General features: G+C 36.7%; 1 protein-coding gene and 1 long non-coding RNA gene across 8 annotated transcripts in view; one reads left to right on the top strand and one right to left on the bottom strand.

Moving 5' to 3' along the window:
• DPYD (dihydropyrimidine dehydrogenase) overlaps positions 1-13,956 on the top strand; it is an 843,317-nt gene that overhangs the window by 537,278 nt on the left and 292,083 nt on the right. For all 6 annotated transcript variants that reach the window (XM_047448077.1, XM_017000507.2, XM_005270562.3 and 3 more), the window contains 2 exons: positions 1,321-1,389; positions 10,138-10,221. In XM_047448077.1, coding sequence (XP_047304033.1) covers positions 1,321-1,389; positions 10,138-10,221 — 153 coding nt within the window. The remainder of the gene's footprint in view (positions 1-1,320; positions 1,390-10,137; positions 10,222-13,956) is intronic.
• Positions 1-13,956, bottom strand: part of LOC105378867 (uncharacterized) — a 48,351-nt gene that overhangs the window by 2,228 nt on the left and 32,167 nt on the right. For both annotated transcript variants that reach the window (XR_007066237.1, XR_007066236.1), the window contains exon 3: positions 4-148. This is a non-coding gene — a long non-coding RNA (uncharacterized LOC105378867). The remainder of the gene's footprint in view (positions 1-3; positions 149-13,956) is intronic.

Genomic DNA, 13,956 nt, shown 5'->3' with positions numbered 1-13,956 from the left:
TACGTGTATCAAGTATGTGCTTTGGGCTAGCAAAACCTAGTCGTTAAAAGCACAGACTCTTGCTCAGTCACACTGCCTGGCTCTGGGTCCTGGCGCTGTTCCTTATCAGCTATATGACTGTCAGGTGTCATTGCCTTGGCGTCTTCATCTATAAAGTGGGGAGAATAACATTGGGAATGATTAAATAAGTTAATAAAGTAAAAACCATTGAAACAGTGCCAAGCACACTGTAAGAGCTATGTAAGTCTTAGCAATTTCTTTTATTACTTTTCTTTTCTTTTTTTCTTTTTTTCTTTTTTTTTTTTTGAGACAGAGTCTCGCTCTGTTGCCCAGGCTGGAGTGCAGTGGTGCAATCTTGGCTCACTGCAACTTCCACCTCCTGGTTCAAGCAATTCTCCTGTCTCTGCCTCCCGAGTAGCTGGAATTACAGGCACACGCCACCACACCTGGCTAATTTTTGTATTTTTAGTAGAGATGGGGTTTTACAATGTTGGCCAGGTTGGTCTCGAACTCCTGACCTCAAGTGATCCACCCGCCTCTGCCTCCCAAAGTATTGGGATTACAAGCGTGAGCCACCACGCCTGGCCAATTTCTGTTATTACTTTTCTTAATAAGTGGCACGATTATTCATATTTTACCAATCAGGAAACTAAATACTTTGCTCAGGGCCACAAGTAAGTGACAGAGTCAGGGTTCTAACCTGGACATCCTAGTTTCAGAGGAGGCATTGGTAATTACTACTCTATACAGTCTCCATTATGGGATTTCTGTAATAATGTAGTTAAATAATCAATACATAATAAAATTTAAAACTATAATGCACTATGAATATTTAAGATATTATTATGTGTACTATAGTGAGTTATGTTTGAAAGAGACACTATTTTTTTTCTTTTCCATCACTTAAAACCTTTTCACTGTACCAGTAATTACAAACAGCATTTTAATGGCATTGTATAATTAGACAATCCCTTCACGTACATGCATGTATTTACATTGCTACTTTCAGAGGATGGCAAAGCCAGTAAAATCCTCTCTATTTTGAAAAAGAGAATGCTGAGGATCAGAAAAGTTAAGTAACTTGCCCAAGTGTTCACAGATAGTAAATGAGAAAATCTCCTAATGTAATTCCAAAGCCCCAAATGTCATCCAGTGTTTTGCTATCTTACCCTGCTATTTTCTAATGATTTATTTTTTCACAGTTTGAAAACTAATTTTATAATATAGTTTACCATTATAAATTTATGTAAATATTAATATATCTTTGTGTACAACTGGATAACTACTTGAACTTATATTCTTTTGTTTTTCTTTTTAAAGATTGTGATTGCTAGCATTATGTGCAGTTACAATAAAAATGACTGGACGGAACTTGCCAAGAAGTCTGAGGTAATGGTTACTTTAGTATATATTTATTTTATTTCTTCTCTCCTATTTTTATTAGTTTTAAATAAAGAGCTGCCATGAGAAATAATACAGTAGAAGTAAAACTGAATTGAAAATGTAACTTAAAACATTTCTATTATAATTTGTTTACCCTGTGTTTTCATTAAAATGATGGAAATGTAAATTTAAAAGGAATTTATTCTATAAAAGCGGTCCCTTGGATTTCACACACTACCTAAAAATCCTTTATTCTCTGAATCCATACACTCTTTATTTGCATGTTAAGCAAACTGTATATTATGATGGATGCCATGATAAAATTTAATTCTACCTTTGAGAGTCTAACTTGATCTTACCTTGCCTTTAGGCAAACTAGTTTGACAGTAAGAGAAGAAATTTTGAATATAAAACTCTTGAATATTTAAAGTATAAAAGGTTCATTTAATACTATTCTAGTTTGAATACAGACATGCATAAAAGAGCGGGACAGAATGCTCCTGAATGGAACACTAGTCAGCAGGTTTTCCATAATATAAATTGAATCCTGCACAAATGCAAACAAGTAACCATGTGCCTTAAATTTGTATTTCAAATAGAAAAATACATACTTAAAATTATACACTTATGTCCATCATGCTGTCATGGAAAATAGTCTGGAGAGTCTTAGCTGGGGTTCCTTGAAAACCTCTCAGTAATGTAGAAGACTAAATCTAACTATACCAATGAACTAATTGACGCTACATTATAAAATATTGCAAAGCTGTCTGTAGTGTTCAAAAATGTTGATTATACATTTTATTTGGATATTTTAAAACTGAGAAGGGAAAAATTACTACTGGGACTTAGAGGGGTGAAATTAAACATGATCAGTAATTGGCCTCGTGATCTTCCATGCTGGGTTCATTTGATACATGTATTTACCTAATTGACCATGAAATCTTCCACAGAGCCCATGCTTGGCATGAGCTTTGCCAATTTTAAGCTGACTATGATGAATGGCTTTATCATGCCGCTTGCTTCTCTGCCTTTCTGTAAGAACAAAATACTTTTCAAAATTATTTTTTTCAATATTAGACATTAATTTTTAAATAGACAACATTACTTTTTATAAGTCAAAAGCCTTTAATTATAAGCAAACTAGCTAACCTAAAGATATTTTTCACATTTCATATTTTTCTTTAATTTCAGTTTTATTTAATATCACCTTCTAATTACTCTGTAGCAAAAACATAAATAAAAAGAAAGGAAGAAAGAAAAAAAAGAAAGAAGGGAGGAAAAGGTATGCCTTTTGTTCAATCAAAACAGTCTGCAAAATCTCTCCATAGGAGAGCAGTCTACATAACAAGAGGTTATGATAATGTCAATTAAAAAATAAAAATATTCACTATAATCTTAAGTCTGGACTAGCCCAGGAGATATCATATGAAGGAAGTATCCCGCAGGCCTTCACAGCTTCTAGGAGGGTAGCATTAAGCAGCATGATTTCATCACAGCTCATATGGTAGGCACCCAATAACGTTTTGTAGAATCAGTATTTGGTTTTGGTTTTATGAATATGCTTCAAAACCGGTTAAAACAGATTTCCTTACAATGGAAAAACCCACGTTAAAACAAACCAACAAAAACATATTCAAGTCAAAATTACTGTACTACCTAACATATACATTTCTTTTGGGGTGGTGATATAGGGATGTAAGAAATCAGAGACACCACACCAACACTCTAGCATGCCAACTGTTTCAAGTTTAGCTAATGCTGTGATGTGATGATGATGTATACTAAACCTTAAGTTTATAAAACTGTCTTTATGGCAGATTAATTCTTGAATTACACAATGGAGAGCTGAGGAAACCTGCTATCAGCTTTTTACTACTTCATCTGAAACAGAAATGACACATATGGAGCAGTAGAGCCTTAGAATGCACATGCATTTCATGTTCTATATTCTTCAACCTGGTTTGAATTTGTCATGTTTTTGAGCACCACAAAGAAGTTTCTACTGCTTGTGTCAAATTAGTAGCATTGTTAGAATCTAGTTAGTTTTCTTGATCCAGGTACCTGATCACAGGCTCTCTTGCTTTTCTGGAACCTTGGTAGTCTACTCCAATTCTATGCAAAAGAAGATTTATGAAACACCTACTATGTATAAAGTCCCTGGCTAGCCAAAACAAAGATGAGTAATAGGGAGCAATCAGATATATGCCAAACTGAGCCATTTCTGAAGGTTCACAATATTCACTTGTAAATGGATCTTTAATCCAGTGTAGTCGATCTTGAATCAATTTCTTTTGTAATTTGTAATCAGCCTTGAAAATAGAGCCCGAGTAAAAGTTAATGTGAAAAAGCTTTATTGAAGTATACAATCTCAGAGCAGAAAGACTGAGGAGAAAAGAAAAATGAGATGGGAAGAAGGGAAAACAAGTGCAATATGGTGCATTCCAGAGCTGGCCACAACTTCACAAGGAAATGGAGCCAATTGCTCAGTCATATGGGACAGGGAATAGCACATCATTTCACAAGATGATAGAATCACCCATTCTCTCATCACTTTCTAGGAAAGGAAGTGGAAGGAATGAGTCTACTGGCTCCTTCAGTCTCCTGTCTCTCACTGGCCCCATTTCACTCCGTAGGGCTCTCCTTTCCTCTGAACTTTTGAGTTGCATGTCCTGCCCCTTCAGGGCAGCTGCTAGGGAAGCTAGATTTGCTAGCATGGGGTGTGATGCTTCTTCTAAACCCAGAATTGTAGGGGAAGGCCAGAGCCTCCTGATGGGGCCTGGGCACTGGTGCTCCTGGAGCTCTCACTTTGACAGGCTCAGTGGAGGTTGTGACACAACCCACTCTCATCTGGAGGGAGTCTGTGAGAGCGGACAGTTACTATAGGAGATGTGAAGATAGCAAAAGGGACTGGGGCTCCCCTTTAACTAGTGGCAAAATTCCTGGGTGACAAGTAGGGCCATCAAATTTGAGGAAGCGTATAATTGGCTGTGGTCCAAAATGCATCATTACCAAGTTTAACTACAATAGCTCCACTAATCTTCTTGCTCTCAACCAATCCAAATTCTTTCCATCTTTCCTAATTTCAGAACCCTTAACTTGACCATTAAGTGCTACTTGGCCCCTGCCCTGCCTGCCTCTCCCCATTGTCACTGTGGGTCTGTTTTCTGCATTCCAGATCCCGCTGCCTTCTTTTCCTCCTCCAACACGTTCCCAACTCAGAGCTTTTCCTGTTCCCTTGGCCTGCAATGTTCTCTCTTCCTCAGTCCTGAGCCTCTGGCTACGTAGTTTAAACCTCCCTGTCCTATTCTGTAAGACCCTGTCTTCAGAGGCCAGTTGACCAGATAGTTAATGAAGCTTAAGCTTCAGGGCATTTACTTGCATGGGCCACTTGCAAGTCCCTGTACCTAACTCTGTGTTTACAATGTTTGATTATTGTTTTTTCCTTAAAGAGGGTTTTCCAAATTATTTAAGCATTAGGCTCCCCAAAATCTGGATCTACCTCTGTCTGTGTTTTTCCTCTGTAGCATATAATAAAGTGGTGATTAACAGTTGTGTCATTGGCCACTACTAATAGTTCCTCTGTCCTGCTTGTTAGAAAGCAAGTTCCGTGGGGGTCGAGACCCTTGCATGGTTCACTGCTTAATCCTCAATTCCAAGCACAAGGCTTTCTTTACCAGCAGATATTTGTTGAATGAAGTAAAAAAGAAGTATACAGTTCGAGTATTGCCATGTGACAAACAAAAAGGAAGCCATTACAGAATAAATGGGAAGAATGGTATTTTATTTGGCACCCATGAACTTGAAGTGTTTAAAATCCAGTGATGATGATTTTAAGTCAGGTACCTGATGAGAGATTGCCAAGGTTCTGACCACCTTTGGTAGGAAGAGACAAGGAAGGTCCAGCAGAAAGGCATAGGCATTAAAACCAAGTGACCACACTATTCCTGGCGGGGCCAAAATAAAACACTAAAACACTAACAAGCCAGTTTCCTATCAGTTTCTTTACCTGAATCTGGACAGCAATATGTCATGAATTAAATAGCTGTGAGAGTTAGAAATCCCAAATAGTTTGAGGTAAAAATCAAACAGAGGCACATTACAGAGATATGTAGGACCAGTTGGATGTTAAGTCTCTGAACAGGGACAGTAACAGGACAGAATGGAATCACAGGAGATAGACACGCAGCTGGAGATGAGAGATAGTAACTGACTTTACATCCAGTGGGGCCCAAGCCAAGAGTGTTTTACCTGTCCCAGGTCTATCTCAGAGAGGTTTAAGATCCCAGAGAACTTTAACTCCAGTTTTGAATAGTTGAGACTAGAGGATAGCATTGCTACTTGGAAAGTCAACATCTGACCCCATGTATTCATTTAACAGAAGAAGTTAAGAGGGAATCCAATAACTGTGCCTTTCATGCCCCAGTACAGTACACTGTTCTCACCCTACTTGAGCTCTGATGTCCTTTGCCAGACCTTATCACCCACGGACGTCTTCCCTTCCCACTTGGACCGTGATATACCACACCATGCCACTGGCCATGTAGACATCCTTCTGGCTCTGCTCCGCTTAGGCTGTGACATCCCACACTGGGCCCTCATGGCTCCTCAAATGCTCGTGCTCACCTGTCTTGCCCTGCCTGACCAGTGACTTTAGAGCTGTATTGATCAGGAAGGTAAGGGAAAGAAAGGAAGAGGTAAGGAAAGAAGGAGAAGAGAGGAGAAATGCTTTGTGCATGATTTCATTGTATATGTTGCACAAGAGTTTGTGGTTTTGCCACCTTAGTTTCTCTGGGTGTTTTTATAAAGTGGTTCAGAGAATTTTAAAAACTATACCACTGTCATATTCCAAGAATTTCTCAGGATAGTTTTCCTTTCCCTCCTGAGGTATAGACAATGTAGGACCAGGTGAGTTATCTTAAATCATTTTCATATCAAGGCAGAGGAAGGACAAGTCAGAGGTCTATTTGGATGGATAGATAAGTATTTAGATAGATAGATGATTGATAGGTAGATAGATAAAGTATTTAGATAGATAGTATACACCTTTATAGTATTTACTACATTCCAGAAGTCATTTACTTTTATTTTTTATCACTCCTCTTTAAACTCTTATATATGTTAAAGCTCTTATTTTTCTTTTCTGTTTACTTAAAACTGTAAAAAATAAACTTTCTTTTTTGGCACCTTTCATTTCCTGTGTTAGCCTTGGAAACATTTAAAAATACATCTCCCTAGAACTCTTCTGTGCAAATATCAAATTTATTTATGCCTTACAACAACAACTCTGTGACTTAGTTCCACTTTTTAAATATATTTTTATTTTTAATTTTTAATATTTTTTGGAGTTCTAGCTTCTCTGACTTGATGTTTTCCTTTTTTTTTTCTTTTTTTGAGGAAACTAAGGCCAAAAGTAGTGAAAGAGTGTGTTCAAGTTCACACAGCTAGGATGGAGTAAAAGTGGGATTCAAACCTATAGTTTGGCTCAGAGTCCACACCATATATATATATATACACACACACACACACACACACAAACTCTCTCTTTCTACTGTGTATAGATGGATGATAAATAGATAATGTAGGAAATTAGTAACAGTGTATTTCCTATGTCACTGCCATCACTAGGATATTTCATTTTATAACCATTTAGGTGAGGTGGAATAAACTCTGGGTAAGTGACTAAACTAAAAAGCTTGTGACTAACAAGAATCAGAATGCATGCCCAATTTCAGTTAATTTAACATTTCATGCTAATTCAGCAATTAAGGCTTTTTGAATGGTTAGAGTTGCTTGGAAATGGAATTAACTGCCTTTTAAGGTGGTGTGCATCCTGAGACAGGAATTTTCAAGCAGAGGCCACATGAATGTTCCTGTTCTCATGGTGTCACCTTGAACAGCATTGTCTGTTTTTGAGGCTTGGATACACATTTCAAAGGCCTTGCCAGGTGTGTTTGGTGAGTGGGCATTTGTATATGTGTATAATGTTGGGGAAATTATAATAATTAGTCAGTGAAAAAATTTTATATTGAACAGGTGATTTTAAAATATTTTAATTTTTACTTCAAGCTTGGAAGCTGTAAGGATATTGAGCTGTTATGTTTTTCGTAACACACTATGACAACTCCAGCCATAAAATAAGTGATTTGTAGTAAATTATAATAGTGGGTATAAATGCAGGTCCTGGACTCAAAATGCTTGAGTTCAAGACCCTACTATCAGCTATAAGCTGTGGGATGTTGGATAAATCACTTGAACTCTTTATGTCTCAGTTTTATCAATTGTAAAGTAGAAATGATGATATATCCTACCTCTTAGAGTTGCTGTGAAGATAAAGTAAGATAAAACATACAAAGGACATAGTAAAGTATCTGGCATATTGTAAATGCTCAATTAATGTAAGCTATTATTGTGTAATATGGTAGCTAGGTGTAAGTTTGAAATGAAATATGCATAATGTAAATATGTATAAAATTATTATGCAAAGCCTTATTTAATCCAAAATGATGTTGAATTGATTTGCTGTTAATTGCTGCATTTCAGTTAAATAGAGAAGTCTACAGGAAATATTTGAAGTAACCAGGAAATAATAAGAAACATGTTATAAGTGTATACTTGCACTATACAATCTTTTCACTAAGCTGGTAATTACCGCATGACATGGTTTTGAGACAGGTCATATTATCCACAGTTGACACTTGAGCAGCTGGAGACAAAGAAGATTGACTGACTTGTCCAAATCATCCCCAATTCCTTAGCTACAGGCGTAAGATTAGAACTCAGGGTTCAGCAGGCTGTGCTCATCCATGCTCACTACCAAACCATCAAGGAAAGAGCAGCATGGTTTTCAGCAACTCTCAAATAACATGAAGACCTTTAAAATCGGATTAGGAAAGCAAAACCATAAGGAAACCATGTTAAAAACAGGCTCAATGATCAAATGGACTTTAACAAATGTGCAGAAGAAAAAGCAGACTCACTAATGAATAAAGATAGGCAAGACTATCAACCGATTAATGACTAGCTGGAGTTCTTAAATTTGTTGAGGTCCTACTTAAAATTCACAAAGCAGGAAAAAATAGGCTAAAATCTTAAACAATTAGGAAGGAAAGAGAAAGAAGAAACAACTGTTGCCCTAAAGAAAGGTCTGGTGTACTTAGAAAGTAGTGAACTATTTTTTAAGCCTTTGCATGTGATAAACCTGTTAAAATACTCTTATAACCAATTCAAGCTTCTAGTTGGCCTTACCGAAAAATAAACCGCGGCACTGGAAAAATTATAGAAGTTAGGTAAAAGAATATAAAATTTGAATCAGCTAGTTTATTCCTCCATCTCTAAAATTACTGTAATAACTTTTTTTTTTTTTTTTTTTGGAACTGGAGTCTCGCTGTGTCACCCAGGCTGGAGTGCAGTGGCATGGTCTCAGCTCACTGCCACCTCCGCCTCCCAGGTTCAAGCGATTCTCCTGCCTCAGCTTCCCAAGTAGCTGGGATTACAGGCACAGGCCGCCACACCCAGCTAATCTTTTGTATTTTGGTAGAGATGGGGTTTCACTGTGTTGCCTGGCTGGTCTTGAAATCCTAAGCTCAGGCAATCCTCCCACCGTGCTAGGATTACAGTTGTGAGCCACTGCACCCGGCCACTATAATAACTTTTTTTTTTTTTTTTTTTTTTTTTTTTTTTCTGAGACGGAGTCTTGCTCTTTCCCAGGCTGGAGTGCAGTGGTGCGATCTCAGCTTACTGCAAGCTGCGCCTCCTGGGTTCACGCCATTCTCCTGCCTCAGCCTCCTGAGTAGCTGGGACTACAGGCGCCCACCACCATGCCCGGCTAATTTTTGTATTTTTAGTAGAGACGGAGTTTCACTGTGTTAGCCAGGATGATCTCGATCTCCTGACCTCATGATCTGCCTGCCTTGGCCTCCCAAAGTGCTGGGATTACAGGCGTGAGCCACTGTGCCCGGCCTATAATAACTTTTAAAAGTGTTTTGTTTATTCTTCATGTTCTTTACAGAAGACTTCCCACGAATTCTAAGATTCTCAAAGTATTCCAAGAATACTTAGAATGAATTATGTTGTTCATTTATACAAGATCTATTTGTATATCAAGGAATTAATGATTTAAATAAGAAGGATTCCTATTAAGTAATTAAGACAAAACTATCAATACTTCCTATTTCTTAGACAAACTGTTTTTAAGTATGATAATGTTGATTTTCTGTTAAAAACATTTTACATTTTGCTTATTCATTCTAGCTAGCCTACTACATTTTTGTTTGTATGCCTAATCCCAGCATCAGTTATCCATAATTAGTAAGATTTGTGTCCATAAAAATAGAAGCTATTTAGGAAGGAATAAATGTGATGTCAAACAGATCTGAGTTACAATCTCTACTGTGTCACCTAATAACTAAGCTTGTCATTTAACCTCCCTATGCTTCAGTTCACATGCCTGTAAACTTGGTAGCATAATAATACAAAGATTATGAGAATTAGAGGTAACAAATATAAAACATATAGAGCAGTGAGTGGCCCCTTATGAGCACTGAGTAAATATTTGGTGTGTGATTGTTGTTGTGGTGGTGGTTGTTATATAGACCTTAATTTGAGAGAGAGAGACTATACCTCACAAGATAGCTGTGATGCAGAAAACAGAATAGTTAACACTTGACAAATGTGACTTGTGTTATCAACGGTGAAAGCCTATTGGTATATAAATAAAGCTTTGCCTTTTCTTTCATTTTCCTTTCTTGTTTAAAGGATTCTGGAGCAGATGCCCTGGAGTTAAATTTATCATGTCCACATGGCATGGGAGAAAGAGGAATGGGCCTGGCCTGTGGGCAGGTAAGGACCTTGACAGCTGCCACTAAGTATGTCAGTGTGACATAACAGGCCCCCGTATGGATAGTTACTATACCTTAGGCAAGGAGATGCATGGATCAGATGACTGGCTAGAGACTTCCAGGTCTGCATTGTTTAAATATTTAGTGTTTAAAAAGTGGAAAATGAGGGAAGCTGAAATTATAGCAACTGTTTAGTTTTATTGAGGAAAATATCACATTATGTGCTTGACAGGAAGTAATATCATAACAAATAGTTTTTAAAAGCGCTGAAGCAGAATTAGCTGATTTCAAATGCAGTGTTCTTTATTCATTCCTGATGCCGATCCAGTTTCCCTGGAGCAATATACTGTACAAAATGCATTGTTCGTAGTGATTTTGTAGTAAATGGGGCACGGCACAAATTGCATTTTACATTTTTTAGCATACGATCATTATTCACTAACTGTGTTTGGGGAGTTGCAAAAAGACTTTGATGCTATTTTTATTTTTGGATACAATAAATGGAACCTTCATACTAAAATACTTTCAAAAGCCTAATGAACAAAATGTGAAATAATATGTTAATATATAGAAAACACTGCATCTTTATGTAACTAGTTAAATGTTGGATGTTAAGGAGCACTGTAAAAACTTAATGCTAAAAAGGTGAGTATTTTGCATCTTATAATTTACCTTTTAAGCCCAGAAGGAAATGGTGTGAATTAAATAATGTGAAATGTAGTAATTTCTGACGGATTGTCTAGTCCTGGAAAGTTTATTTTATCTCCATGTCTGGCACAGGATCTTGTACTTAGTAGGTCCCCACCTTTTTTTTTTTCTCTCAAGTCATCAAATTGATTTGAATTAAACTCAGAGGCCCTTAATTTGGGAGGGCAAACATTTCTGCTTATTTAAATGAACATAGATTGCTATCTTTGTATTAGCATTCAGGAAGAATTTTAAAGTACTTTGTAAATATTTAACATGCAGAATAGATTTGTGACTTAAGGAGAAACCATTTTTATGTAACAACAAGAAAGGAGGGTCTAGTCAAATATTCTTCAAATATATTCTCTGTTCCACTCACAACAGGTTGCCCAGAAGATCAGTAACTATGATATATGATAACAGAACCAAGACTCAGAACTATCTAGTATAGGGAAAACATGACATTGAATCGTGACTTTTATGAGTCACATGATTAGATAGTAGCATTTAAGTAATGTGATTAAAATGAGAAGGATTCCTTAAAGGATACCTGGAATGGGGGCTGAGTTAGTATTCTTTTCCCATCTCAAGTCAAGATTGTCCCTCCACTTGTTTCACAGTCTGTGAATCTCAGAACCGAAGTATTTTTTAGCTACATGGATAGAAACAACTACGGAGGTTTTAAATCTATTGATTGCTTTGTTAGGGGAGAATGCAATTCAATATTTCTCTCTTACCACAAATACGACAATTATTTTGAAAATGTTGCCCTAGTCCCACCTGAGTTTATTTTTTGGAGTAGGCTTTTGCTATATGAGCACATCTGAATTTACTCAGCCATTAAGTGTCTTAGGTGCATCCTTTCTGGAGAGTTATTTAGCCACATAAAGTTTTGCACAGCCTTTGGCTGAATGAGAATGCCAAATGCTAAAACTTTGCAATCAGAGATATCATTAAGCTTTCTAAAAACTCTTGGAAAACACATGTTCCAAAAACCATGATATCTTGGCTGAAAAAAATTTAGGAACATTTCCATTTCACTTATTAGTTATAATCTCTACAACTGAAACCAATTCTTCATATCAGCCAAGTTTAGAAATTTTCTTTTGAATGATATTCTCTTGTAAATTATATGATTGAAGAATAAAGCTAATTTAATCATTTTTGTTCCAACATATTTTAAATGATTTCTCTGCCTGAGGACACATGAATGTTCCATATTTTAAATAAAGGGAAGGCAGAATATTAGTGCATTTTAAAAAATGCTTTTCTGTGACTCTGACTTTCTGAAGTGAGCACAAACACACTTGGGCTTATTTGCCTTTTCCTCTAGTTCCTTTTACCCCTTCTCTGCCTCCTATTCCCATTGCTTCTCCCTTTACCTCTCTAAGTTCCAAAGTCTTGAACACTTGCCAATTGGTGGGGTGCAGAATTTATACTCAGTGGTGGGGGACTGAAGAGTCATTCTAGTCCCTCTTCCCCATTGCTATGTGATCTTGCATTTCATCTGTTGAAAACTTACTATGTGCTAAGCACAGAGCTGCATGCATGGTCAGAGCCTGATTAATATTTGCTTCACGAATTAGACATGCTGTCGGTTCCATGGCTAAAATATTTATCTGCCAGAGACACTTTCTTGTTCAGTACACATTCCTCTCTAAATACTTGATTTTTTTCTCCTTTATCTCAAATATTTTCTCACAAATATTTAATGAGTGAAAAATGCTGCCTTTGTACCTAAGTAATTTGCCTGTGTGTAATCAACATTATATAGATGTAACACTGATATATATACATATATATAAGCTTATATATACACATCTATATAAAATAAGTGATTAAAAATCATGAAATTTATGAAGAGGGAAGGCCGTAATCCATACTCTGCAACATTATGGGTTCCATATTTATTTATGAAATTTATGGAAACAGAATCTCAAGCTGACCTTGGGAAATTGCATTGTGTATTCCTGCAAAACAAAGCTTCATATCAAATCTTAAAACACCTCAGCATTGCTAAGTGTTTAAAAGTAGTCTCATGTATTCATTCCATCAGCCATCTGTGTCACCTTTATCAAGCCACTTGCTCTCCTGAAGGATAAGTGTCCATCTCTAAAATATGGGATTTGAACTAAATGATCTTTAAATCTCCTTTAAGCTTTAATTTTCTGTTAATGTTAACATTAAAAATAGCAGGCTACTGTTATTTTTAAACTAACTTTAAAGAGCATTGTTAAAACAAAAACAAAGAAATAAACAAGTGCATATTGTGTTGCTCTTTTTAAAAAAAAATTTGCTTTAAGTTCTGGGATACATGAGCTGAACGTGCAGGTTTGTTACATAGGTATATATGTCCCATGGTGGTTTGCTGCACCTATCAACCCATCATCTAGGTTTTAAGCCCTGCATGCATTAGATATTTGTCCTAATGCTCTCAGCCCTCTGACCCCCCAACCCCCAACAGGCCCCGGTGTGTGATGATGTTTCCCTCCCTGTGTCCATGTGTTCTTGTTGTTCAACTCCCATTTATGAGTGAGAATGTGGTGTTTTGTTTTCTGTTCCTGTGTTAGTTTGCTGAGAATGATGGCTTCCAGCTTCATCCATGTCCCTGAAAAGCACATAAACTCGATTTTTTATGGCTGCATAGTATTCCATGGTGTATATTGTGGAAGACAGTGTGGTGATTCCTCAAGGATCTAGAACCAGAAATACCATTTGACCCAGCAATCCTATTACTGGGTATATACCCAAAGGATTATAAATCATTTTACTATAAAGACACATGCACACGTATGTTTATTGCAGCACTATTTACATAGCGAAGACTTGGAACCAACCCAAATGCCCATCAATGATACAGTGGATAAAGAAAATATGTTGCTGTTTTTAAAAACACTAACATTTCTTTAGCCTGCATTAAGGCAGTATTTTACTTAGTGATTCTTGTTTTTACTAATGCTTACCCTAACTAATGCTGCTCGCTTTTTGGTATATTTTACTTTGATGAATGAGAATCTAGGCAGCAGTTGCTCAAAAAGGCTATGATTGG

Source organism: Homo sapiens, chromosome 1 (assembly GCF_000001405.40).
Source record: "Homo sapiens chromosome 1, GRCh38.p14 Primary Assembly".
In the NCBI taxonomy this organism is placed as follows: Eukaryota; Metazoa; Chordata; class Mammalia; order Primates; family Hominidae; genus Homo; species Homo sapiens.
The sequence above is the reverse complement of the archived record's forward strand: the minus strand, read 5'-3'. Positions and strand labels throughout refer to the sequence as shown.